The following is a 26,774-nucleotide window of genomic DNA, read 5'->3' as shown; positions in this document are numbered from 1 at the left end:
CCACTTCCAAGCTCATTTAGGTTTTTAGCAGAATTCAGTTCCTTATGATTCTGGGACTGATATCCTGATTCTCTGCTGGCTGTCAGCCAGGAGCCAGTTTCAGTTGCTATAGGATGCCCACATTTCTTGGTATGTAGCCCCCTCCAACAGCAGCACGTCAAATTCTTCTCATCCTTCAAATCTCTCTGACTTCCTCTTCTGCTCTTAGCAGACGGAAAATCTCTGCTTTTAAAGGGCTGTTGTGATTAGATTGGGCCCACCTGGAAAATCTCACATCTGTCATAAAACGTAACATAATAACAGGAGTATTGCCTCATCAAATTCATAGGTTTCACCTCACACTCAAATGGGTGGGGGTTATACAAGGGCAAGCGTCACTGGGGATCATTCTTAGAATTCTGCCTATCGCAATGACCTCTTAGACAAAAATAATAAGAAAACATCTACCCAATTCAAGGACAATTACTGTTTATACCCAACCTCATTGCCTATGTGATTTATACCAAGGAAAAGTTACAGAAGCAGTGATTTACAGATTAACGTGGTTCAGGTACCCAAGCCTCAGGGAAGGGATGGAAAGCTGTTTTTGTTATTGTTGTTTTGTTTTTTGAGACGAGTACTCGCGAGTCTCGCTCTCCGCTCACTGCAACCTCCGCCTCCTGGGTTCAAGTGGCTCTCCTGCCTCTGCCTCCCAAGTAGCTGGGACTACAGGCGTGCATGCCACTATGCCCGGCTAATTTTTGCATTTTTAGTAGAGACGTGTTTTCGCCATGTTGGCCTGGCTGGTCTGAGACTCCTGACCTCAAGTGATCCGCCCGTCTCGGCCTCCCAAAGTGCTGGGATTACAGGAGTGAGCCACCGTGACCAGCCAGAAAGCTATTTTTAATAAGTAGGCTTCTCTTTCCGAGGCCTCTCTGGCTTGCTTTCTCTTTCTTTCTTCTCTTCTACTAAAGCACTGAATGTAAATACAAAGCGATTGTCAAGAAGACCACCTGTTTTCTCTCTGTAGTCCTGATAAGAAGGGTTGGAGTTTAGGGGACTAGACAATTGAATAATATCGATTAGCAGTCCTCAAACATTTTGGTCTTAGGACCCTTGTTAGAGGTGCCCCAAAAATCTGTTGGGTTTTGTGGGTTATACTTATTGAAAATTGCCATATGGTAATAAATTAAACCTGGAAAGTCTTACAAACACAAGAATATACAAGCACGTATTCTCTCATCCTATAAAGCGATGATGTCATCAGACATTATATAGCCTCTGGAGTGGAAAAGGAAATAAAGACTTAGCATGGTTATGAAAATAGATTTGAGCTCGTGGAACCTCTGAAAGGGTCCCAAGGACCCCCAGGGCTTCCTCGACCACACTTTGAGACTCATTGAGATATGTAAATACTGCCAGTTGTATTTCTTCACAGATTAATCAACTCACAGATTTGGGTGCATTCATTTGTGCAGTCTTAGAAACAAATCTTTCCCTTTACCAGTATCTTATTCCATCTGGTAGACTCATTTCTGCTGCTGATGCTTGAAAAAAGTGTCATTTGCTACCACAGGAGGAAAACGGTGCTAGATGGATCATAACATACAGAAAAGCAAGATAGTTCCAAAATGTTTCCAAGAGCTTCTGGCAGGATCTGTCATTCTACAAATACTGCACAGGAAAAATTGCTTTAAATGCTGCATCTTTGCAGTAGAAAGATTAGGATTGAGCCAGGCTGTGAGTCAGGCAGAAAAAGGCACACAGAGGGGGATGAAAGAAAGCACTGGAGAGTCTTGTCATGCTTTGCCCTTGAAAACTATGCCAAGACCTCTTTTGTGTTTTTAAATGAAGAAATCCATCATGTTTTGTGATTGCTGTAATGACTCAGGATCTTCCACCTTCCTTTTAACTATAAACCGTAGCGTAGTTAGGTGTTTGTTTTCTTTGTATCATGCTTGCAAAAAGTGACGAAATAAAGTTAAAACCCTTTAACTGGGACTCCATTACGGTTCTGCTGTTCAGTGACCAGCTTGTTCATTATTCTCACAATATTATCTACTTTCTTCATTTCAGTCTGTCTCTTAGATCCTGGGCTTCTGATGTCTTTCCATGGCGGATGAATACAATTTAAAACACGAAAGCTGCTGGAGGAAAGGTTTAACGTTCCCCCTCCCCAAGGTGAAATCTTTGCCTGGCCTCAGTCACTAAGTCTCTCAGGAGCGGAAACTGAATGGACATTCCGGAGACGGTGAATAAGAATGATAAACGGTGGTTGGGGAGAACAGCGCGTTTCTTCCAGCGGAGGACTAGGCCCACAGGACGCATTCCCAACAGATGAGCGGAGCCGACAGCAAGTGTGCCACGAACGCCAGCTGGCCGCCTCACTAGAGAGAGCTCCGCCGCAAGCCGCCGCTTTTGGAGTGGAGTTCCACATGTCCTCCGCGCTTGAGCCCTGGGACGTCAGAGGCCTGGCGTGCTGCCACCGCCCCAGTTCACGTCGTGTGACCCACGACCAATGGAAGAGCAGGCAAGTATTCCCGGCGTCCGCTGTGATTGGTTCCCGGAGTGGAGGCGGTGGCAGAGGGTGGGCCTTAGGACGGGTCTCCCTTAAACTGGGCGATCAGGCAGCGACCCTAGAGGCGTCTGTAGGGTAAAGCTGGGGGTTCTGTAGCCGGAGGCGGCGGCGAGTCCAGAACGTCCTGGCCTTACAGGGAGAAGGCGTCACTCGCGGTTACAAGTGCCTGACCCTCACTCCAGTTGGCGGAGGAGGAGAAGGAAGGGGCCGGGCCGGGTCCCCTCCCCTCGCGCCCCGGATGGATGTGCCCGGCCCGGTGTCTCGGCGGGCGGCGGCGGCGGCGGCCACTGTGCTCCTGCGGACCGCTCGGGTCCGTCGCGAATGCTGGTTCTTGCCGACCGCGCTGCTCTGCGCCTACGGCTTCTTCGCCAGCCTCAGGCCGTCCGAGCCCTTCCTGACCCCGTACCTGCTGGGGCCGGACAAGAACCTGACCGAGAGGGAGGTACGCGCGGCGGACGCGGGGCGCGGGAAGGGCGGGCGACCGGCCTGCGGGTGGGCAGCGGAGGAAGAGAGGACCGAGAAAAGCGCTCGAGCCATTCTCGGCAGAGATTTCTGATTTTGCCAGTTGGAGGTCGGCTTCGTGCTCTTCTTTGTGTTCATGATTTTCTGTTTTCTTCGGCTCTGTAGGACGAGTCTCCTGCGAAGGGCTCAGAACACGCGTCCAGAGGCCCCGTGCCTTGTGCGTCAGGCAGTATGCTGATCGTGTTGTAATGTGGCTTAGCGTGACTGCCCAGACTGGTCCAGCAGTTCCTGCTGGGGGCGAGGGGGCAATATTTTGACAAAGAAGTGAAAACAGCAAAGTGTACTTTGGACACGGCTTAGTAAATATTCATTGACTGAAAGTAGGCAACCACTGCTTTTCTGAAAGGATCTTCCCTCTACCTCCTTCACCTGCTTCCTGTCCATACCTTACTTTGTTTGCATTTGGCAGAATGGGTGGGCTTAATCAAGTAAGGACAGGACAGAAGTACAGAACATCTTAATTTGTCTTGATTTTTAATTGGGTGAGGTTGTGTCCAAGGATATCCTGCCCCTCTCTACCTTAAGACCAACCTCCAGGGATAAAGGCAGATGGTGAAACATAATTGACTTTTAATTATAGTGTTTCTTGTATTGCGAATTGTTGCTTCACAGATGTTAGTTTTGCTTCTCAGATACAAGGTGATGTCTTTGAAGGCCTTCTGTGATGTTCAGGGTAATTGAGAGCACGTAGTCCATCATCAAGAGTTTCTTGCTGATTGATTTTTTCCCTAGATGAGGGCTTACAAATAAAGTACTTCAGAAGCGCATAGTGTACTTTAGAAATGTGCTGACCTATTTAAGTGCATGGTCAAAACCAGCACTTGATTTTTGCAGAAGAAAGACAATATATAAACTGAGAAAGAAATTAAACCCAAAGTACTTCCACAAAACCGAAATAAAGCCGATTCAACACCCTCTTCCTTGAATACAACAAAGGGTGAAAGCTGAGGTCTCATGTTCTTTTTCCTACTATCAGTCAAGGGGCCACTTGAGAGCTTTTTCTTTTTTCCTACACCTGTTCCTTCCACCCTGCCTCCTTGCCCCAGGTGCTGTAAAATACTCCTCCCATTTAAACCTTACTCTTCTCTATGTGGGTAGTAGTCAGTCACTTCTTTTGAGTAGCCACTCAGTAACCCTGCATAACAGGTCAGAACAAGAGATGGCACTACCGGAATCATTTGCACACTGGCGAGATATAGTTACTCATAGTTTGTTGTTTGCAGTTTGTTTGTTGCAATGCTCCGTCATTTTCAAGGGCACTTGAGAGAGAATTAAGAATCAGTATTGACTTACGTATTGAGGGTTTCACTTGAGAGTCTGACATTTGTTCACTTCTAGCAAGTATCACTGACTTTTTGCCTGGCCTTAAATTACCCTATTGACCTGCCAGTTGTGGGATGGAGTGGCTGGGCCGTTTCTCAGTCTTGTGGATCATTACATAAGCGACCGTAACAGTTATTCATAACCTATTTGAGTTTTAATACTGATTTAAAGCAATAATGTCAAAACAGCCAAATTTCATGACAGAATGATTTTACAAGAAAATTACTGCACTGATATGAGAAAGTATGATTCTGGAGACCCAAAACAACCACTGAATCTGAGGTGTAGCCACTGAGGCAGAATTGATACTGCTGTGAACAGCTGACCATTAAAGTTTCATGTGAACTGCCATGTGATCTGCACAGTTTGTGCGCCTTTCCGGATAGTGAAACACAGGGAGAGAAACATGTTCCCAGTGTTGATATTTGAAAGCTGATCTGTTTTGTCATGTGCTCTGGGTAGAAGGTTGCTGTGTGACGTGCTACCAAGATCATGTGCTCTGTCCTATCAGAAAGCTTTTCAAGGTGAGTGAAGTGTGTTCAGGGGGCACAGAAATAAAGCAGAGTTGCCAGGCGTAGTAACTATTTGCTGATTGTGTAACAAAAAACATAAGTGTACTTCTCTTATTGCAAATTAGTTGAGGAAAAGCGTGGGATTTGAAGAGAAATCTAGTAGTCTGGGGAAGGGGTGTCTTCTCAGAGGACCACCAAATCATGGCTGATTCTCCTCTGCTTACCTTGTGGCAAACCCTACGTTTTTTTGTATAACTAATAATTGAAATAAATAGAACAACTTATTCATTACTTACTGAATGCTTGTTTTTTGCCATGGACAGTTAAATAAAAAAAATTACATGATTTTTAAGCAAAGCTAATGCTAAGTCATATTCAGCGACATTTGTATTAAAGTTTGTATTTGCTCTTAGAAGACTGCAGAAGGGCCAAGTTGGTTTGAATAGAGCTATTGTTAACTAAATCCTAAAACAAAAGGAGAGGAGAAAAAGATTTCTTCTGTCTACTCTCAAAAGTTTTTTTCTTAGATTTCAGGAAAAGCATTAATTTTAAAACAGATACCAGTGTGTAAGTTTTAAGCAGGCTAAAATTTGACTGTATGTTAATAGTTGAAGGCCAGACTTTCAGTAAAACAGATCTTTATCTCTAAAAACTTTTTTATCCTTTCATCATTGTAGCATGTGTTTTGACAGACATTTACTACCTTTCTTAGATTTTTTTAAACATTCCACCTATTTTGCCTGATATTCAGAGCCTCACGAAGTTTGGTTTTTACCTCCTTGACAGCCTTATATCCTACTACAAACCTTCTTCCCCTTACCACTTCCACATAACCAAGCTCCATTCATATTAATCTAATAGTCTTAAGTCCAGCATATCCACAGTCTCATCTGTTGACATGTACTCAAAGACTTATTCTCTTCTTGGAATAATCTTCCCATATATATCTGTTGATATCTTTGTTAGCCTTTAGGTTTCTCATCCTTCAAGGTCCATTTTGAAGAAACAACCCTGTATTTCCTATTTCCATTATAAATACTGCATATATTATATATTCCTCACTAGGTTCAATACTCCTGGAGAGCTGAGGATCTCAGTTTATTTATTTAGAGACAGTCTTGCTCTGTTGCCCAGGCTGGAGTGCAGTGGTGCGATCTCGGCTCACTGCAACGTCTACCTCCCAGGTTTAAGCGATTCTCATGCCTCAGTTTCCTGAGTAGCCAGGATTATAGGCTTGTGCCACTACTCTCAGCTAATTTTTTATATTTTTAGTAGAGTCGGGGTTTTGCCATGTTGGCCAGGCTGGTTTTGAACCCCTGGCCTCAAGTGATCTGTCCAACTTGGCCTCCCAAAGTGCTAGGATTACAGGCATGAGCTACAGTGCCTAGCCTTATTTTATTCTTTTTTTTTTAAATTTTTTAATTTTAATTTTAATTTTTATTTTTTGAGATGGAGTTTCGCTCTTGTTGCCCAGGCTGGAGTGCAATGGCGTGATCTCGGCTCACTGCAATCTCTGCCTCCCAGATTCAAGTGATTCTCCTGGCTCAGCCTCCCAAGTAGCTGGGACTACAGGCACACGCCACCATGCCCGGCTAATTTTTTTGTATTTTTAGTAGAGATGGGGTTTTGCCATGTTGGCCAGGCTGGTCTCGAACGCCTGACCTCAGGTAATCTACCCACCTCGGCTTCCCAAAGTGCTGGGATTACAGGCATGAGCCACTGCGCCTGGCCATTTTATTCTTTTTGTCACCTCCGTGCTGGTTGAAAACAATGTTGTGCAAATAACTGCCTATTAGTTGTTTAATTGAAACTTGATTCTAATTTAAAGCCTAAATCTAAATTAGAACTTAAAAATGAACATCTGTTTTCCCTTGACTTTGTAGCTCAAGAAAACACAAGCACTGATCCAAAGAGTTGTGAAAGGCACCTTGGTCATAATAAAATCAATTCCCGTTGCTCACATAGCAGATGTTACGTGAAGTGAGAAGTTGGAGTATGGACAATTAATAAGGGTCTGTAATTGGTACATTTTTGCCTGTAGGATGTTTCCCTTCAAGATTCAAAATATCAAGGAAGCATTTTTTGCTGTCATTGGAAACACTGAAAAAGAAAAGGATCTGCCTTGGAGACCCATTAGTTAAGTGCTGGAGACTGTAGTCTTTATCTCTTCATGAATGCCCTGTAAAAGCACCTCAGTGCAGATTGGAAAAGCTACTGCAAGCATTAGAATTAACCTGGAAGATAGTAGATGATTAATAGCAGTTTTCTGATTGAAGAAACCAGGCATTTTAGTGTGGCGGATTCAGAATTTATGAATTCAGATCCTTCTTCTGCCAATCCTGTGATAACTTGGGACAATTCACTTAACCTTTCTTTAAGGCCAAGTTTCCTTGTTTGTAAAATAGAGATGATAGAAGCATTTACCTTAGGTTTGTGGTTTGGATTAAATAGAGAGAATTTAGAGAAAGTGCTTAGCGTGGTGTGTAACACAGCAGTAGAGGTTTGTTATTATGATGCTGATAATAGTGTGAGTGGGGCATTCCCCCTGGGTTGATGTCTTTTAAAGGAGAAAATGCAGGTTTCTTATTTAGAATAAGTTAAAGAGAAACTATCTGGTCTTCCCCCTCTCCCCTATTTGCCTTTCTTTTTGTTTTTAGTTGTTATTGCAAGGTTGGCAGTGTTACTCTCCTCCATCTTCATTATCTAAATTGTAGTTTTGTAATAGTAGAATTAGACTCATGAGTAAAGATACGTTAAATTGATAATTTAAAGGATGAAACTTAGACAATGAAAACTTAGCAGTTAATCATTTTGGGACAACTATGGTTAAAAGTTATGTAACATGTCTAAGCACAGACAATATTATTGGAGTGAAGAGGTCATCCAAAATCCCAAAACAAAGGAAGATGAACTATTGAAGGGAGCAGTAGAGGACATTTTTAAAGGAAAGGTTTAATGGCTAGTACTTCATGGTGCTATGTTGGGGAAATTGTGAAGGTGACACTTAGTCAAACAGAGGAGGCAGTTTCAAACTTTAGAAAATGGACAGGCTGGGTGCGGTGGTTCACAGCACTTTGGGAGGCTGAGGCGGGCGGATCATGAGGTCAGGAGTTCGAGACCAGCCTGGCCAACATATTGAAACCCTGTCTCTCCCAAAAATACAAAAAATTGGCCCGGCATGGTGACAGGCACCTGTAATTCCAGCTACTCGGGAGGCTGAGGCAGGAGAATCGCTTGAACTCAGGAGGCAGAGGTTGCAGTGAGCCGAGATCACGCCATTGCACTCCAGCCTGGGTGACAAGAGTGAAACTCCGTCTCAAAAAAAAAAGAAAGCTGACAGATAGTATCTGTAAAAGTATAGGCCACAAAGGAATGACAAGTTGTTAATTAGAACACAACTGGAAATCTCAAGATTACCCTTACCTGCTTTGGTTTTCTACTTAGAGTTATTTAATGCAGCTAAGGGCACTTTTTTCCTCATTTGCTAAAATTTCCACAGTTTTGAATACGAATCATTTCTACATTTCTTGATTATTCGTTTAGGCACATAGTCAGGTGCAACAAAATTTCCTGATCAAGTGGAGCTTGCTAACTGATTTACCAACACAAATTAGACCAAAATTCATGAAGGTGAGGCCATTAAACAGATCACTTTTGTCTGGAATGTATTTCAGAAAACAGGGATTATGTTTTACTTTTATAGCTATGCTCTGCACTGGCAAGAGATTTTGCAACAATTTTTTATTGTTTGCCTAAAACCTTAGAACCTTAGCTCATATTAGACTTGAGTGAACTGAGATGTACAGGAAAGATAAAAAGAAAGTTACTATTGGTCTCAGAATGTAAAAGTCTGGGATTAGGTTGCTTCATCACAAAGTATTCAGCCTTTTACCAAAACTACCTTTCAAAAAGCACTTAAAAGTTGAGGCCACTGACAAAAGGAAGGAAAAATCTCCTACAGTGATTGTTGTTGGAAGAATGGGAATGATAGCTCAATTAATTTAGTTAATTCATACTGCCCCAGATGTCCTTGTCAGCTTGTCCTCTAGTCTTCAGACTTTGTGAATAAATCAGGTGGAGTAAGTAATTTACATGTTGTGTCTCATTTACTTTTTGCAACAAACAACCGCCCTTTACTGATAATGGAGATTAAGGCTAAGGGGAACTAAAAGAATGTTGTCTACAATCACACAGCAAGTGATGGAACTGAAATTCCTGTTGGGGTCTTTCTGGTTTAAAGTTTATTTTAAAGATCATTTCTACTATATCCCAATTTTAAAATATGCATTAGAAAGAAAACAGCAAAAACTTCTTTTTTCTATTTAAAAACAAGCAAAAAGAAGGACATAAAAGTTGCCTATATTCCTGCCATCTAGAGAGACTTAATTCTGTCAAGACTGTAGGACACATTGACCATCTTTATTTGTTCCTCTGCCCCAAAAGAAACAAAACTTAAAGTCAGAGAAGCTTAATGAAACAGTAGGATAAAGGCTCCCTATCTTGTGTCTAGAAGTAAGAATTGACAGTGATTCCGTTTTCAAAGCATTTATTGAATAGTATCTTCCAAACAGTATGCTGGCTTTTAGACAGGTTATACAGGTGAATGTAGGGGTCTATCCTTAAAAAGCCTATAAGGCAGTTGTTCTCAACTCTGGCTCATTTAAAACTCTATTGGGAAGTTTTTAGAAAATATCTGTGGCTGGGCATTTTTTTTTTTTAAAGAGACAGAGTCTTGCTCTGTCATACAGACTGGAGTGTAGTGGTGTGATCATAAGTCACTGCAGCCCCAAACTCCTGGGCTCAAGCAATTCTCCCACCTCAGCCTCCTGAGTAGCAGCCATAGGCATGTGCCACAACGCTTGGCTAACACATTTTTTTAAAGCTTCTTAGGAGATGCAGCCATGGTGAAGAGCCAGTATTATGAATTAATTGGGGAAACTGATGCATATAGATCAGTATTAGGAGAGTTTGAGGCTAGGCCAGATGGCTCACATGTCTGTAATCCCAGCAGTTTGGGAGGCTGAGGCTGGTGGATTGCTTTGAGCCCAGGAGTTTGAGACCAGCCTGGGTAACGTGGTGAAACCCTATCTCTACCAAAAAAAAAAAAAAAAAAAAAAAAAAAAATTAGCTGGTTGTGGTAGTACAGGCCTGTAGTCCCAGCTACTGGGGAGGCTGAGGTGGAAGGATCACCTGAGCCTCACCTGAGGCGGAGGTTGCAGTGAACCATGATTCTGCCACTGCATTCCAGCCTAGGTGACAGAGGGAGACCCTGTCTCAAAAAAACAAAAAACAAAACCAAAAAAAAAAAAAGGGTTTGAATGTTGTAATACAAGTACTTTTGGCTTCCGCAAAGTCTTTCTGAATAAGGAAGTCTTTGAACTAGGCCTTGATTAATGGGAAGAATTTATTAGGAAAAAGATGATGGTATTGGGGATAGGAAAGGATATTTCAGGCTGGGCGAGGTGGCTCACCCTTGTAATCCTAGCGCTTTGGGAGGCTCCTCATTTGAGGTCAGGAGTTTGAGACCAGCCTGGCCAACATGGTGAAACCCCACCTCTACTAAAAATACAAAAATTAGCCAGGCGTGATGGTGGGTCCCTGTAATCTCAGCTATTCGGGAGGCTGAGGCAGGAGAATCACTTGAACCTGGGAGGCAGAGGTTGCAGTGAGCCAAGATCGTACCACTGCACTCCAGCCTGGGCGCAGAACAAGACTCCATCTCAAACAAAAAAGAGAGAAAAGACATTTTCAAAGTTATCTGAACTGCTGTTGTCAAGGTTGAGATCTTTGAGGTATTTGTAGGTTGTTTTTTATGAATAAATTCTTTATGAGTATTCCAGGTCCTTTCATCACTAATGTTTTTTGTTTTTTTTTTTTCTCTTTCTACCAGGTCTTCAATGAAATTTATCCAGTATGGACTTACTCTTACCTGGTGCTACTGTTTCCTGTGTTCCTTGCCACAGACTACCTCCGTTATAAACCTGTTGTTCTACTGCAGGGGCTCAGCCTTATTGTTACATGGTTTATGCTGCTCTATGCCCAGGGACTGCTGGCCATTCAATTTCTAGAATTTTTTTATGGCATCGCCACAGCCACTGAAATTGCCTATTACTCTTATATCTACAGTGTGGTGGACCTGGGCATGTACCAGAAAGTCACAAGTTACTGTCGAAGTGCCACTTTGGTGGGCTTTACAGTGGGCTCTGTCCTAGGGCAAATCCTTGTCTCAGTGGCAGGCTGGTCGCTGTTCAGCCTGAATGTCATCTCTCTTACCTGTGTTTCAGTGGCTTTTGCTGTGGCCTGGTTTTTACCTATGCCACAGAAGAGCCTCTTCTTTCACCACATTCCTTCTACCTGCCAGAGAGTGAATGGCATCAAGGTACAAAATGGTGGCATTGTTACTGACACCCCAGCTTCTAACCACCTTCCTGGCTGGGAGGACATTGAGTCAAAAATCCCTCTAAATATGGAGGAGCCTCCCGTGGAGGAACCGGTAAGCTCAGCCTTAAATATCTTGTAATTGCTACTATGGGGGCTGGACCCGTGGTGAAAAAAACAGCAAACTCCCTCTTGGTAGATCTTGTATTTATTTGGATTCATGTTTTATCCTGAGTTGGTTTATTGCTTTATTCATTCATTCATTCATTCATTCAAGCTATGGTTTATTTATATTAGGGATGACACATTTATTTTTTCCTGGAGTGCGTGACCTCCAAAGTCAGACTGATACAGCATTATATTGTTCATGTCAGAGATGCCTTGGATTGCAAGGGCTGTGTCTTCATCTTTTGAGTGTTTGGCATATAAATAAAGCACTCAGAAAATTGTTGCTAAATGAGTAGATGAAATGATTCTAATAAATGATTAAGTATCTACTTCTAGTTTCTGAATTGAAGCCCAAATTATTATTATTATTATTATTATTTTTGAGACAGAGTCTTGCTCTATTGCTGAGGCTGGAGAACAGTGGTGCGATCTCGATTCACTGCAACCTCCGCCTCCAGAGTTCAAGCAGTTCTCCTGCCCCAGCCTCTCCCTAGTAGCTGGGATTATGGGCGCTCGCCACCACGCCCAGCTAATTTTTGTATTTTAGTAGAGACGGGGTTTCATCATGTGGGCCAGGCTGGTCTCGAACTCCTGACCTCAAGCAGTCCACCAGCCTCAGCCTCCCAAAGTGCTGGGATTACAGGCGTGAGCCACCGCACCCAGTCATGAAGCCCACAGTATTTAAGGGTAAGAAGTTAATTTCCTCTTCTGTGCTAGAAGGGATATCTGTTATTTATTTTTCAAATGACAATTTGCTGAAGTGAAGTAGTAATGAATAATACAGACGAAGAGATCACAAGAGGACAGTTTGAGGTGGTGATGGAATAAATAGTAAAAGTGTGTTATGAAGCTGTCTCTTGGAAGAGAGAGGTATGGCATTAAAATAATTTATCCATCTGTTCTGTCTAGCCAGGAAGATGAATTCCTTTCCCTAGACACCCACCCTTTTTTTTTTTTAAATATTCAAGTGTTTTTTTTGTTTCTATTAGGTTATAAGCTGTGAGGAACAAAGTTAATTCCAGCCACACTGTAGTCTTAGTTTTCCTGGGACATGTTTGGAAATAAGCCTATTAACATTCCAGCTTTGTAGGTGGCCTCAGTCGGACTGAGCTCCATAAGCTTTGTAGGCTGGCTGATAATAAAGAACCATTATGAGTAAAGTCTTTCATTCTCTACTGAGAGTTAACTGAATTGTTTAAATGTGGCATCTAATGTCCTCATTGAAAATTACTCTCTTTTCTCTATCCCCGTTCTTCAGCTCTCAAATTACTACTTGAAATTTAGGTTATCATCCCAGAGAGCCTGGGTAGACTTGTAGAGCCTGGGCAACCCTCATCATGAAACTCACCTTGATTACCAGGGCACCTGTGAGCACTTTTTGTCAGAATGACCAAGGATTAAGTGGCAATGAAATGCTGATTTTTTTCATAGTTTGTTAGGTGATATTAGAGAGTCAACAGAGGGTTGATGGGGGAGGGAAGGAGGTGTGTAATCATTTCATAGATTTTATGAAGTGGAAAAAAAATAAAGACACTTCTTTATCTGTTTTGAATGTGTTACAGTGGCTTTAGCTAAAATTAACGTATATACAGATAATATGTGTATAAATATATATTTTAGATATTAACATATTGACCATAGTTCTAAAGATTTTTATAGACAGTTTCAAACTTTTTTGAATATAAGTAAGAAACATAGAAAACATTTTACATAGAAAACCTGTACATACATAGGTATGTATATATTTTATATATAACAGAAACAAGTTTTACAACAGTGTTTTATTCTGATACATTCTTTTATTTTTTTTAAATTCAGTTCACTGTCCTCTAAATCAATTTTATTGCCAACTTATGGGTGATGACCTATAGTTTTAAAAACTGTTCTAGATCAACTTGAAATACTTGTTTATAGATACACAGTGTGTCAGTATTTTATATACTGAAGAATTGTAGAATTTTAGAGTTAGAAATGACTCTAATCACAAGTCATAGAAAAAGCAGAGCATTTTAAAAAGAGATTAGATTTCATCAAGACTGTCCTTTTAGAGATAAGGATTAGGATCAGAGATTAGCAACTTATGCAGAATTGTACAAATATACTCTTGAACATAATTTAAAAGTGTGTATGAGATCCAGTTCTTTCTAAACCTTTCTCGGTGAAGTCTTTTAACTGGGGTAACAATGTCAGAACCATCATGTCAGTTACACTGTTTTCAGAATTAGGATTCAAGTCAGTTCCCTGATATCCTAGGCTCTGCTACTGATACCATAGCAGATGGGCAGTGCTGCTTGGTATTGGCACTGACTGGCCCTAAAATGCTGCTGTTTTTCTTTGGCAAGCATGAAGAAAATTCAGAATATGGATATTAGGGATCACAGAGCTATTTTAAGTTGACAAGACCTATAATTAAACCATAAATTATAATTGTGGTAATTATTGAAGAGTAGGTAGGTAGGTGGTTTTATCTTGATTTTTATAGAAAGAGAAAATGAAGTAAGAGGAGTCTAAGTGATAGCTCATTCTACAAGTTACCTTAGAGTATTTGTGAGTTATTTTTAAAGAGAGTCTATTGCATTGGGGCAAAGGGTGCTGATCTTGCAGAAAGAAGAACCAAAGCTGGTGACTTTCTTTTACAAGCAGAGCTGGATTCATTATGTAGTTGGCTGATTGGTGAAACTGATTTATTTTGAGTTCTTCATCTATTAGAAATGACATAAATTAAACCACTTCTTTAGCACAGGTTCTGACATGTAATTAATACCTAGTAAATGATTCTCTTAATATAGCCATGCTTTTATTTGTAGTTTGATATCTTTTACTACTAGTAAGTGTTCTTTCTGTGTCTGCATGTCTAAGGTCTCTAAACAATGACAACAGTGAAATTAATGCTTCCACTTTGGTATTAAATAATGTCATTTCTAGCAGCAGGGTGTAGTGAGTTACCACCTACCTCCCTCACCAAAACCCATAAAAATAAAAAACTACAATAAACCCTGAGAACCAAAATGAACGAAAATCTATTCGCTTCATTCATTGTGAGTTTTTAAGAAAGTGAAGTCCAAACCCTAGTTCTAATACTTGGGCAAGTTACTTAATTCTGTGAGATTTAGTTTCCTTATGTACATATCTACCTTATACAGTTATTTTGAGTATTTAAAGCTTTCAAATGAGTTTACATAGTAGGTTTCCAATAAATGGTAATTGCTATTATTACTATTATCATTATCATTACACGTGAATAATCCGGAACAGCTCTGTACTTTTATGGTAGATAGTCATGTATTTGTGAGGTTGTAAATAGAGCAATCTTTCCTTTTCTCTTTGAATTAATCACCCCTGGTCATCTTCATCATCATCATCATCACACCTCCTGTTTATTTTGACCTGGGTATCAGATACTGTGCTAAGAACTTTAGAGTCAGTATGTTATTTGATTCTTATTAAAACTCAATAATGTAGATATTTGCTCATTTTACAGAAGAGGAAACTAAATTTAGTTAACTGACTTGCGCAAAGGCACATAGGAAGTGGCACTTTAAAACTTTCCAACTCAGGCTGGGCATGGTGACTCACACCTGTAATCCCAGCACTTTGGGTGGGCAAGGCAGGCAGATCACTTGAGGTCAGGAGTTCGAGACGAGCCTTGCCAACATAGTGAAACACGATGTCTGCTAAAAAAAAAAAAAAAATACAAAAACTAGCTGGGCGTGGTGGTGCATGCCTGTAATCCCAGCTACTTGGGAGGCTGAGGCAGGAGAGTTGCTTTAACCCGGGAGGCAGAGGTTGCAGTGGGCTGAGATAGTGCCACTGTACTCTAGCCTGGGCAACAGAGACTCTGTCTCAAAAAAATAAATAAATAAATAAAATTTCCACCCATATCTAGTTGACTCAAAAACCACCACTACAGTAGAAACTTCCATTCCCTGATAGAGGGAAGTAATTGTTAAAGATTTTTAAATTTATAAAACAGCGTCAAAATCTTATGTTCAAATGAAATCTGAAACTAGATGCCCGTTATGATAAGTAAATAAAAATTGAGCCTTTCTGATTGAAACAGGAATGCAGGTCTGATAATTTTACATACTTGAGCCTGTTATTCATCCCACATGAAACTCTTAAAGCTCCATGGAACACAGTGAAGGCCACTTATTAAATTAGAGCATGCATGATTAACTATGAGCAGCTCAGAGTTTTGATGTAATAGAAATAAACCTTTGTTTGTAGATGTAATTTAACAAGAAACATAAAAGGTAATATGTCAAATGCTACTTTATAAAGTGTGATTCATATAAGCTTAACATTTGAAGCCTAGAAAACAGCATAGAAGGAAGCCTGCAGATTATAGCACGAGGTGCTGATTTTATAAACAGGACCTGCCATCTTTTCTTTTTGGCATGGCCAGATAATAGATTGAGTAGTTATTAACCTCTGTGTGTGGAATTCATTATTATGTAATAGATCTAAAGTTCTCAAATGCATTATACTGGGCATTATTTTATGTATGCCATGACTTTTTAAGCTATGCAATAAAAATAACACTAATTGAGCCCCTCTATAATAAATATATACATTATCTAGTGTAACTCTGTATAATCTTTTGTGGATAGGTTTTATTGTTATCATTTTCATTTTCTAGATGAGAAAAGTAAGGCTTTCTTATCAGTTTATGGTAGGATTTCTAATAGAAACTTGTGAATCCTTTTAATAGTTCCATTCTTCCAGGAATATACTTTCTTTTCTTATAATCCTTCCAGCATCCTTGAAAGTTTTAGATATCCCAGTTGTTTTCCAAGTTATATTGGTTAAGCAACTGAAGCTAAATAGTAAAATTCTGATGTAGTTCAATAAAACTGGTGGACCTTGAATAAAGACTTATGAAAATGTGCTTGGTACCATTCACTCACTCTTAGCAAATTCACATTATATATGATTAACAATTGTCTTGTGATTTGTTTAAATTCACAAGGTTTGCTCTCATACACAGTGCCAAGAAATCAATCTTGTAACAGCAGTATGTTGTACTTCTAGGTGGTTATCTTATGCAAATTCATCAAGTAGAATTTTCAAGTGTCGGTACTTCTTTCTCTGAGTTATTTTGATTAACCTCAGTACTCCTCCCTGAATTTTGGAAAGGGGCTGTAGTAATGGTACTTGAAGGATATCCCCCTCTGGGCTAAACAGCACAAAGAAGGAAGCACCACACTGGGGTTGCTTTGGGATGGTATGAGAAGGTAAAACAACGATGAAACTCGGATTCTCAGTCCAGTGAGGTTTTCTAGCCTCTGAGGGAGAAAATGGCCTTTATTTAACTAATGTTGATGGTCACTGTTACTGTATATAAGAGGAGAAAATATCTATTAATTTTATAAAAATGATATATATGGTGTGTGTGTATATATACACACACACACACACACACACACGTTTGTTTTTTGAGACAGAGTCTGTCTCTGTCGCCCAGGCTGGAGTGCAGTGGCGTGATCACGGATCACTGCAGCCTTGATCTTCTAGGTTCAAGTGATCCTCCCACCTCAGTCTCCTGAGTAGCAGGGACTACATGTGTACACCACCACACCCAGCTAATTAAATTGTGTGTGTGTGTGTGTGTGTGTGTGTGTGTGTGTGTGTGTGTGTGGAGACGGGATCTTACTATGTTGCCCAGCTTGATCTTGAACTTCTGGGTTCAAGCATTTCTCCTGCCACGGCCTCCTGAAGTGTGATGATTCCAGGTGTGAGCCACTGTGCCTGGCATCTACTTATTTTTTTAAATTAAATGTTACAGAAAGCTATATAAAAAATAAAAAATCACCTGAACTACTACCACCCAAAGATTAGTGAACTTCTTTTCAAACATCTCTTTTCCTATATACATATGTACGTATACATTTTATAGTAAATGAAATTGTGATCTACATGTAGTCTTGTAACTTGCTGTTATTTTACTCAGTGGTATATTGTACTCATCTTTCCATGGCTCTCATTTTGCCTTTCCATGTTAGCCACAAAAGTAAAATTTTCTGTGGGTTTTTTTTTTTTTTGGTAGAGATAGGATCTCACTTTCTTGCCCAGGCTGGTCTTGAACTCCTGGGCTCAAGCAATCCTTCTGTCTTGGCCTCCCAAAGTGCTGAGATTATAGACATGAGTCACTACACCCGGCCTTCCCATGTTCTGAGCAAGGCCCAGGGATTACAGTAACCTTTGGTAGATTAGTCCTTTCATACAGTTGAAATCAGAGATATCTCACAGAGTGTCTGACATCTCATATTGACTTCTTGGGATAGTGCGTAGCTCAGTAATGTCTTGCTTCACTCAATTATAAGCCCAGTAGCTTTATTTATTACTTTATTATAATACTATTTCTCATTGTTTAAATATTAAGTAATATAAAAAGTTTAAGGAAGAAAATTTAAATCACTAAGAACCCACCACCTAGAGAGAACTGCTAATATTTTGGTCTACTTCTTTCCAATATTTCTATCTTAACTGTTGGATCAGTCTGTCAATTATAACGATAGGAGGCCTTAACTGAATAGTGATTTATTAGGGTTGCTAGTCTGTTGCTTATTATTATTCTTGTTATGTTGTTTGCCAGTTTATGGGAGATGTAGATTACAGACTCCCATTGGCTGAAGCCTGCGGTCTCTTTTCATCATCTTCATTTTGTAAACAGTACATCTTTTGCTGGGTTGATTACATACAGCTGTGTTAATGCTATAGTGCATTTAAAGCAAAAATCCTATGAGAACATATTTTTCGCCAGAGGGGATAAATGTATTTGTTAATAAGTTTATGAAGTAAGCAGTTAGTTTTCACAAGGAAAAAAGTCTGTTAGGTAAGTAATTGGGCCTGTAAATTGCTTTCTATATAATTGCCTTCATCAGAGTTTGAGCATTGTTCCCTTTTGCTATGTAGGAACCCAAGCCAGACCGTCTCCTTGTATTGAAAGTACTATGGAATGATTTCCTGATGTGCTACTCCTCTCGCCCTCTTCTCTGCTGGTCTGTGTGGTGGGCCCTCTCTACCTGTGGCTATTTTCAAGTTGTGAACTACACACAGGGCCTGTGGGAGAAAGTGATGCCTTCTCGCTATGCTGCTATCTATAATGGTGGCGTGGAGGCCGTTTCAACCTTACTGGGTAAGCAATGCAGGATAATAGAGGGTCGTGGTGGGGGAGGGATTCCTCTGGTAGTTAAGCCAGCCATAATCAGATTTATTCACCCCTCCCAAATTTGAAATAGCCTCAAAAAATGATTATTTTGAGCTAGATTTTACAATTTAGGAGGACAACTTAGAAGTACTCAAGTGGAGCAGGACTATGACTAACAAACTGGAATTTTTTTATAAGCTTTGAGTAAACCTAATATAATAATTTTCAAGATTGTTTATCCAAGTTTCCATTATCTCTGTATTTACTGGGTAGTTTTGTCACTTGATGTGAAATTTTGAATGGCAATATATAATAGTTTATAACAATAGTATCTAATATTTGTTGAATGTTAATATGTGCTAGGTACTGTTCTATGGACATTATATACATTAACTCAATCCTCACAAAATTCCTGAGATAGGTAGAATTTATCCCCATTTTGCAATGGAAACTTGGGACTGGTAGGTTAATAACTTGCTCAAGGTCATATGGATGGTAAGTAGTAAAGTCAAGACTTGAACTCAGGCAGGATGGCTTCAGAGCCTGTGTATTTGACCATCTTACTCTATTGTTCATTTCTAATTTGTTGACCTACCTCCTGAGGTTGTTGGATGGTGTTATATGATTTCTGTAAACACTTATTATCTGTCTTGGCCCTCAGAAAACACTTCATAGATTTTAGCTATCCTTATCATCATCACTGTTTTACCAAAAGGCAGAGAAGCCCTTTTGCCATGTTCTAGACTGCTCCTTGGTTTGAAGGAGAGATGACTCATCCTGCCATGATGCCAAATTAGAAGCTATGGTTCTTTTTGACTCTTGCCTCTGCTTCAGCTGCAGCATTTTTTTTCCTTAGCAATGTCCCTGTGTCTTTGTCCTGCATTTTCATCTCATTGCCACCTCTCCTAATTCAGTCTGTCATCTCAGTGGCTCCATTTTATTGATTCCATCAAGTTCAGAAATTTCTGTGTGAGTTTCAAGGCCCTCCATAATCTTGAGCTATTCTGTTTATAAGTTTGCAGATTTTAAAATTTAATAATCTAAGCTGAGTTTTTAATTTATTGCAACAGCATTTGTGTAGCAAAATAATTGGATTTTTTTTGTTTGTTCTGTAGGTGCTGTTGCTGTGTTTGCAGTTGGTTATATAAAAATATCCTGGTCAACTTGGGGAGAAATGACATTATCTCTCTTTTCTCTCCTGATTGCTGCTGCAGTGTATATCATGGACACTGTGGGTAACATTTGGGTGTGCTATGCATCCTATGTTGTCTTCAGAATCATCTACATGTTACTCATCACGATAGCAACGTATGTATTTTGGCTCATAGAAGCCTTAGGAAAAATTGTAACAGGATAAATTTTTTGGTTTCTTTACAAACCAAAATATTCAAGTTTCTAGTTAAATGAGGCAAATGGGAGGAAGCATTGTATTATATGTGCATTATCAGTTTTTCTCCTGAGGAAGCATTTAGGCAAGTTTTGTTTATTCCCATGTTTGTATGTTCCTACTGTTTTCAGATGTTTGCATGAGATTTATATCATTTAGTTGCAGAATGTTTTCATTTGGTTGGAAAGGCAATTGACAGTAGAAAGAAGGACTCTTCATGTTTAAAGATAAATGTTTACTTTTATTTAGAATAAATATTATAAGTACTCCAGAAGTAATTCTTATTTATTCACTCTTTTATTTTTTTTTAAGTTTTCAAATTGCTGCAAACCTCAGCATGGAACGCTATGCCCTAGTATTTGGTGTAAATACCTTCATTGCCCTGGCACTGCAGACGCTGCTCACTCTAATTGTGGTAGATGCCAGTGGCCTTGGATTAGAAATTACCACTCAGGTAAGATCTCTCCTTTGGCATCGAAGGTAGTATGTGTGACTTGATCAGGGTGACAGAAGTATATGTATGCTTAATGAAAACAAATCCAAACAATAGGGAACAGATGTAAAGTAAAAGCATACCCTCCTTCCTTCATTCAACATCTTCTCCCCTATCCTTAGTTCTTTTCTCCTGGGAGGGTGTTGGGATTGTCAGGTCTTAGAACATTCCCGAGTGTAACTCATCAGCCCAATGGGGCTGTTTCAGCTGAGAGGTAATATTGATTCCTTACAGACCAAGACCTTCTGCTTCCTCATCCATTATTTCCCTCTATACTTAAATCTATGCTTGGAATACTGTATCCCATGTTTGAGATTCCCTGCTTCATCTCACAACTCTTTAAGTCTCCTCCCTTCTTTATTTAAAACACCCCTCACCCAAATACCACGGTAATGCCTTGCTGCTGATGAACAACATTATGATTTGTAACTTATGACTATTGAGAAACTTGCACCAACACCCAACAACAATGTGAATACTTTTTACGTTCAGGAATTGTATAGTTGTATATGCCTTCATGCATTGTGAGTTTTAAGTATATCTTGTTTTGTACTTTGGTAAAATGGGCAACTGAATGAATCAAGAAGTATTTACTCCCACCCCCATCCCAACCCAAATGATTTCTTCCCAACATATTAGCCGTAATTAACTTTGTTTTTACTGAAGCGATCTAAGAGAGAAATAGTAATAATAGACAATGTGCATTGAGTGCCTCTACGTGTCAAGTGCTTTATATAGGATTTGTAGGGTTGCTGTATTAGACATGAAGAAGATGAGTCTGAGAGATGTTAAGTGACTTGTCCATACCATCACTAGTAGTGTTCCAGAGCTTAGAGTTAAACCAACATCTAACCCCAAAACTTATTTCAGGATGGAAAGTAGGAGAGAAACTTAAGTGCTTGCCATCCTCCCTGTATAAGGGAGAGTTCCCAGGACTATTACAGTTGAGGGAAACATGGCTGTCATTGGAAGTGGAAATTTGTCAGCAGATTCTTATAGAAATGGTGGATTTAAACACGTGGAATAATAGGATTTTATGGGTGGTGCTGAAACCCTAACTGCCATGATTGATTAATGGCTTCCTGCAGAAGTGTAGCCAACATTGAAAGAAACTGGCTCAGTGATTTAAGGCCATACTCTCATTGTACTTTTGAACCAGTTTGTAAGTATTTAGTATGTTATTTTAAGAAGATGATGATGATGATGATGTTAATAAACCATATAGTCACATTAAAATTTCGCTTAGGGCATCATCCGCCGCAAACTAACACAGGAACAGAAAACCAAACACTGCATGTTCTCACTCATAAGTCGGTGTTGGACAATGAGAACACATGGACACAGGGAGGGGAACAACACACATTGGGGCCTGTTGGGGGGTGGGAGGCAAGGGAAGGGAGAGCATTAGGACAAATACCTAATGTATGCAGGGCTTAAAACCTAGATGATGGGTTGATAGGTGCAGCAAACCACCATGGCACACGTATACCTATATAACAAATCTGCACATTCTGCACATGTACCCCAGAACTTAAAAAAAAAAAATTGTCTTAGGGAAGAATTCTTACATTAAGTAATCCTGTAATGGAATATAGTTGACCTGCCGCTGCCCTCTTCTGGGGAAAAATAGAGAAGTTCTTGATCTTCAGAATTTGGCCTATTTGTACCCACCTATCAGCTTGAAGGCAGAGACCAGGACTGAATTATAACAATAACAGCAACAACAATAAAAGTAATACTAACAGCATTAGCATTGTGCTAATAAGCATTTATGATCTCACTGATGGGTACCAACATCGCTGTAAAGTGAGAACTACTATGAATTCCATTTTGTAAGTGAAGAAGGGCTCAGAGATGAAGTATCTCAATCAAGTTCACGCAGCTTGTAAGGGATGAAGTCAGGATTCACACTCAGGCAGTCAGGCTTTATTTAGTACCACCGTGCTGTGATGCTGCTTTGTGTCTTCAGGGTCTGGCACGTGGTGTAAGTATGCAATATTTTTTGAGGCTTTATGGACAAATTCTGAATATACTTTATTATAGAGTAATCCTCTTGTCATTGATAATTCAATAAACTGCTTTTCCCCCTTCTAGTTTTTGATCTATGCCAGTTATTTTGCACTCATCGCTGTGGTTTTCCTGGCCAGTGGTGCAGTCAGTGTTATGAAGAAATGTAGAAAGCTGGAAGATCCACAATCAAGTTCTCAAGTAACCACTTCATAATATACTGCTGAAGGGCTTCTTCTTATAGCAAGAACTCTGCACAGCAACTGCCTGGATGTGTTTGATTTTTTAAAGCGTAGACATATATTTATGAATGTGCATTTCTTGACTTCACAGCAGCCACTTGACTAATACCTTGTGTTCCGGGAATAACATGATACTATTCAGAGGAGCCAGAAGTAAAGTTTATTTCATGGATTATTTATGAGAGCTAATTTAAGGATGACTTTTTTTCTGATTCAAAAGTGAACTTGATTTTAAAAACCAGTCAAGAGCAATCAAAGCAGCACATGGTGTTGTATACTTCATTAGCAAGTGAGTTTGGTGTTTTATAGGTCACATATGTCTGTATCTACTTAGCCAGATGCTTGGCCTGGTGGGACCAGGGCTCCACAGAGGCCACAAAATGTTGCAAGTCATGATGGATGGAAATATGTTCTAACAGCATCTGCCTCTATTCAATTTAATTCTTATTTCTGTGTTACTCATGTACATTGGTCTTTCTACATAGTTATTCTATCACTGGCAATATTTGTTCTGGTTTAGTGTTCTGTATTTTAAGGTGTACGTATCATTTCTAATTTTAAGTTATTTTAAAAAAATTCATCATATGAATGTTCTTGGTTCCCATTGTGACGATTATTTATTTCTGTAAAATTTGTTTAGAAGTACGTTTTTGCATTATTCATATGCTTCCCAGAGAAGCTCATTTAGTTAGAAAATAAGGCAAGTTTTGAAGCCTGCTAAATGAAGAGACTTAAGAAAGCTTAAGGTACGCTTGCTTGTCTTTAAATCTTCAATATGAAGGACTATTAATTCCAAGATTAAAAGTTCATATATAGGCTAAAGATGTAACTAGGCCATTTGTATTTGTATTCCCTTTTATTTCCAAAATAAAATGAAAAATCTTTTTTTAATAATTTCATCCCTATTTATAGTTTTTATATTAATTTGTTTTTCTTATCCAAGTAAAGATGTCAATAGGAATTGCATTAGTCCAAGGCCTTTTTCATAAACTGAGCCTCTTTTCAATTATTTCAATGGGACAGGAACTAGGATAGATGTGATTCCTGCATTTTTTTACCTTAAATCTGCCTTTGTTTCTAAAGGTAGATCATCTTGAATATTTGCTTAAAATTGCTAGTGATTTCATTACCAAGTTACTTGAAAAAATGTTCTATATGCATTTAATTCTGAAATCAGTCTACCAAGGGGCTGCTAGTATATGTCAGACATGAAAACTATTTTAAAGCTGACTTTGTTGCCTTATCTTGAAAAGAATCTAGATAGGTGCTTTTAACTGGGGTATTAACTTTTTTAGAATGACACAGCTGAACAGTGTTAATAATAGTGTGTCAAGATTGCAAAGTCGACATACTCATTTGGTTTAAGCAGGAATCCTAGAAGCAAATGGATGGGGATAAGAATAGGTCATTTTCTATTCACCATCCTTTACTATTAAGGGAAAGGAAAAGAACACTAGCTAAGGAAGGGAAAGGGAAGTGATATCATAAAAGTAGCAACCTTCATTTTACATTCTGTCTGTTTTTCTTTTTTTGCTTTGTTTTGTTTGTGCTAATTTGGGAATTGTGTACTCCGAAACAAGTAGAAAAGTGCTGTTTGAGGGATTTTATTAAATCTTTTTTTAATGGAATGTGGTACAAATTGTTCATGTTACCAAAGCAATATTTCCCTGGAATTTAATTCAAAGTTTGTGGCATACAACCTGAGCCTTTTCTTATATAAGACAAGAATATGTTCACATCTTGGTATGTGGCCATATTTATAGAATGCTGAACTCAATGTGCAAGTTGTACTGTATGCAGTTTTGTAAATAAGTGAAAATAATTTGTTGTACTTTTTATTCAATTCTGTATAGATTATAAAATTATTTTTATTAAATAAATATTTTACAGTATATTTTCTCTTTTTAATCAAAATTGTTTTAAATTTATCTTCTATTTCAGTAGGAGCTTTAGATTATATCTTTAAATATTTTAATAATTTATCCTAGGACAAATTTCATATTAAGTCTTCCCCTGGTCTAACTTGCCTAGTTAACCTTTTGTTATCTTTTTAATTATTCCATTGCTTTGTGATTTTTACCTTTGACTCTTCCCCCTTATTTCAGATGTTTTCCCCCTTTTTTTTGGCACCCCGTTGCACTGTTTTTTTTTTTTTTTTTGGTTTTCATGTTGGCACTGCTCTTATCTCTTTTTAAAGCATTCTTCCTTAAAAAAAAAAAAAGACACTCTCTTTGATGTTAACTGAATTTTTACAATAAAGGAAATTAAAGCAAGAGCAGAAAATACCACCTTGTTCTGAAACTTCATAGCCTCTTTGTTCCACCTCAAATTATTCTGATACCCAGGGAGGAATCTTCTTGCCATGAGTTGAGAATCATTTGTCCATTATATCCCAGAAACCTAATCAGTATTTTCTTACAGTATCCAAATGAGTACCATTTTTTAATATACCATTTCAAAATCTACTTAAGGCATTGATTTCGCTGCTTATCACCAAAGTCCTGGAAATTTTTCATGCAAAAATAAATTTTTTTTTTTTGAGACAGTCTTGCACTGTTGCCCAGGCTGCAGTGCAGTGGCAATCTCGGCTCACTGCAAACTCTGCCTCCTGGGTTCACGCCATTCTCCTGCCTCAGCTTCCCGAGTAGCTGGGACTACAGGCACCTGCCACCACGCCCGGCTAATGTTTTGTATTTTTAGTAGAGATGGGGTTTCACGGTGTTAGCCAGGATGGTCTCGATCTCCTGACCTCGTGATCCGCCCGCCTCGGCCTCCCAAAGTGCTGGGATTACAGGCATGAGCCACTGCGCCCGGCCAAAAATTTTTTTAAATATAGTTTTATAGCCCTATAGTTTCATTGCCTGTGTCTTATTACCTTTCAGATTGGAAGCCTTCAGACCAGGGACCATGTCTTATTTTTGTTTTTTGTTGCAAAACAGATTCTGGTGTCATGTGAACATTTAATTATATAAATGGTATGTGATGGACTCAGCCACCTGCCAATACAATAGTTAAATGCTCATCTTTTTAAATTTTTATTTTAAAGAGTCAGTGTTCCTAGGCTGGAGTACAGTGGCACAACCACAGCTCACTGCAGCCTTGAACTCCTGGGCTCAAGCAGTCTTCCTGCCTCAGCCTCCTAAGTAGCTGGAAATCACAGGCGGGTACCAACACACCCAGTGAATTGTTATTTTGTAGAGATGGGGTCTCACTATGTTGTCCAGGCTGGTCTTGAACTCCTGACCTCAAGCGATCCTCCTACCTTTGTCTCCCAAATTATTGGGATTACAGGCATGAGCCACCTTGCCCAGCCTTATTCTTACTGTATTTTTAAATGCAGCCTACAAAATTGGAGTTGTCATTTTTAAAAAGCACATCAGACTGCGGTGGCTCACGGAATCTCAGCACTTTGGGAGGCCAAGGCGGGTGGGTCACCTGAGGGCGGGAGATCGAGATCAGCCTGGCCAACAAGGCAAAACCCCGTCTCTAGAAAAAATACAAAAATTAGCCCAGCTATTTGGGAGGCTGAATCGCTTGAACCTGGGAGGCGGAGGTTGCAGTGTGCTGATATCATACCACTGCACTCCTGCGTGGGATAGAGAGACTGTCTCAGAAAAAAAAAAGCACATCAGTGTAAAATATTAAGATTAAAATGCCTGTTGATCTCTAGTCCACTGGATGCCTTATTCAAGGTACTGTTGTGCTTAAATGATAGAAATGGTATGATATCTATTTGTTTTACCTATTATGTCATATTCCCCATAATTAATACCTTATATTTAACATACTTTAGGAAGGGCATTTATTAACATCATCTCCTTTGATTCTTGAAAAGGACCTTGTAGAAATACTAGTTCCTCTACTTTTTTCAGTAAGTAATACTACAGAAGGGGGTTCAAAATGTTAGGTTTGCCACTCAAAGCTGTGATACGTTAGCAGAGTCACTCTATTGAGCCTCAGTTTTCTCATCTGTAAATGGTATGATACCTCACAGAATTGTGAAGAAATGAGCAAACATAAGTGAAAGCACCTGTC

General features: G+C 39.4%; 1 protein-coding gene across 2 annotated transcripts, besides 7 other annotated features; it reads left to right on the top strand.

Annotated features, from left to right (window-relative positions):
- Window positions 1,561-2,481: an enhancer, noted in NCBI's record as "H3K27ac hESC enhancer chr1:169455319-169456239 (GRCh37/hg19 assembly coordinates)". NCBI's record gives its function as "activates a minimal SCP1, AML or CMV promoter by ChIP-STARR-seq in primed H9 embryonic stem cells {active_cell/tissue: H9 hESC(primed)}" and the evidence as "EXISTENCE:reporter gene assay evidence [ECO:0000049][PMID:30033119]".
- Window positions 1,561-2,611: a biological region, named in NCBI's record as "Sharpr-MPRA regulatory region 5964".
- Window positions 2,184-2,253: an enhancer, noted in NCBI's record as "active region_2074". NCBI's record gives its function as "activates an Ori minimal core promoter by ATAC-STARR-seq in GM12878 lymphoblastoid cells {active_cell/tissue: GM12878}" and the evidence as "EXISTENCE:reporter gene assay evidence [ECO:0000049][PMID:35858748]".
- Window positions 2,264-2,513: an enhancer, noted in NCBI's record as "active region_2073". NCBI's record gives its function as "activates an Ori minimal core promoter by ATAC-STARR-seq in GM12878 lymphoblastoid cells {active_cell/tissue: GM12878}" and the evidence as "EXISTENCE:reporter gene assay evidence [ECO:0000049][PMID:35858748]".
- Window positions 2,317-2,611: an enhancer, noted in NCBI's record as "tiled region #5964; HepG2 Activating DNase unmatched - State 1:Tss". NCBI's record gives its function as "activates a minimal TATA promoter and a strong SV40 promoter by Sharpr-MPRA in HepG2 cells {active_cell/tissue: HepG2}" and the evidence as "EXISTENCE:reporter gene assay evidence [ECO:0000049][PMID:27701403]".
- On the top strand, window positions 2,592-24,653 carry SLC19A2 (solute carrier family 19 member 2). Of its 2 annotated transcripts, NM_006996.3 has the most exons (6): window positions 2,618-2,999; window positions 10,805-11,407; window positions 18,376-18,598; window positions 19,726-19,918; window positions 20,310-20,451; window positions 22,585-24,653. In NM_006996.3, the coding sequence occupies exons 1-6, from the start codon at window positions 2,796-2,798 to the stop codon at window positions 22,711-22,713; spliced, it is 1,494 nt and encodes a 497-aa protein (NP_008927.1). In that variant the 5' UTR covers window positions 2,618-2,795; the 3' UTR covers window positions 22,714-24,653. The 2 variants fall into 2 exon arrangements, with proteins under 2 accessions (NP_001306596.1, NP_008927.1); NM_001319667.1 differs by lacking the exon at window positions 10,805-11,407 and having other exon boundaries at window positions 2,592-2,999.
- Window positions 2,794-2,973: a silencer, noted in NCBI's record as "silent region_1546". NCBI's record gives its function as "represses an Ori minimal core promoter by ATAC-STARR-seq in GM12878 lymphoblastoid cells {active_cell/tissue: GM12878}" and the evidence as "EXISTENCE:reporter gene assay evidence [ECO:0000049][PMID:35858748]".
- Window positions 3,154-3,213: an enhancer, noted in NCBI's record as "active region_2072". NCBI's record gives its function as "activates an Ori minimal core promoter by ATAC-STARR-seq in GM12878 lymphoblastoid cells {active_cell/tissue: GM12878}" and the evidence as "EXISTENCE:reporter gene assay evidence [ECO:0000049][PMID:35858748]".

The sequence above is a fragment of the Homo sapiens genome, chromosome 1 (genome assembly GCF_000001405.40).
Source record: "Homo sapiens chromosome 1, GRCh38.p14 Primary Assembly".
NCBI classification, from domain to species: domain Eukaryota; kingdom Metazoa; phylum Chordata; class Mammalia; order Primates; family Hominidae; genus Homo; species Homo sapiens.
Note: the sequence above shows the minus strand (reverse complement) of the source record. Positions and strands in the feature narration are given on the sequence as shown.

Coding starts and splice junctions, on each gene's coding strand:
- SLC19A2 (NM_006996.3), top strand. CDS start 2,796: ATGGATGTGCCCGGCCCGGTGTCTCGGCGGGCGGCGGCGGCGGCGGCC. Junction 11,408..18,375: donor AGCCTCCCGTGGAGGAACCG/GTAAGCTCAGCC, acceptor TTTGCTATGTAG/GAACCCAAGCCAGACCGTCT. Junction 20,452..22,584: donor GATTAGAAATTACCACTCAG/GTAAGATCTCTC, acceptor TCCCCCTTCTAG/TTTTTGATCTATGCCAGTTA.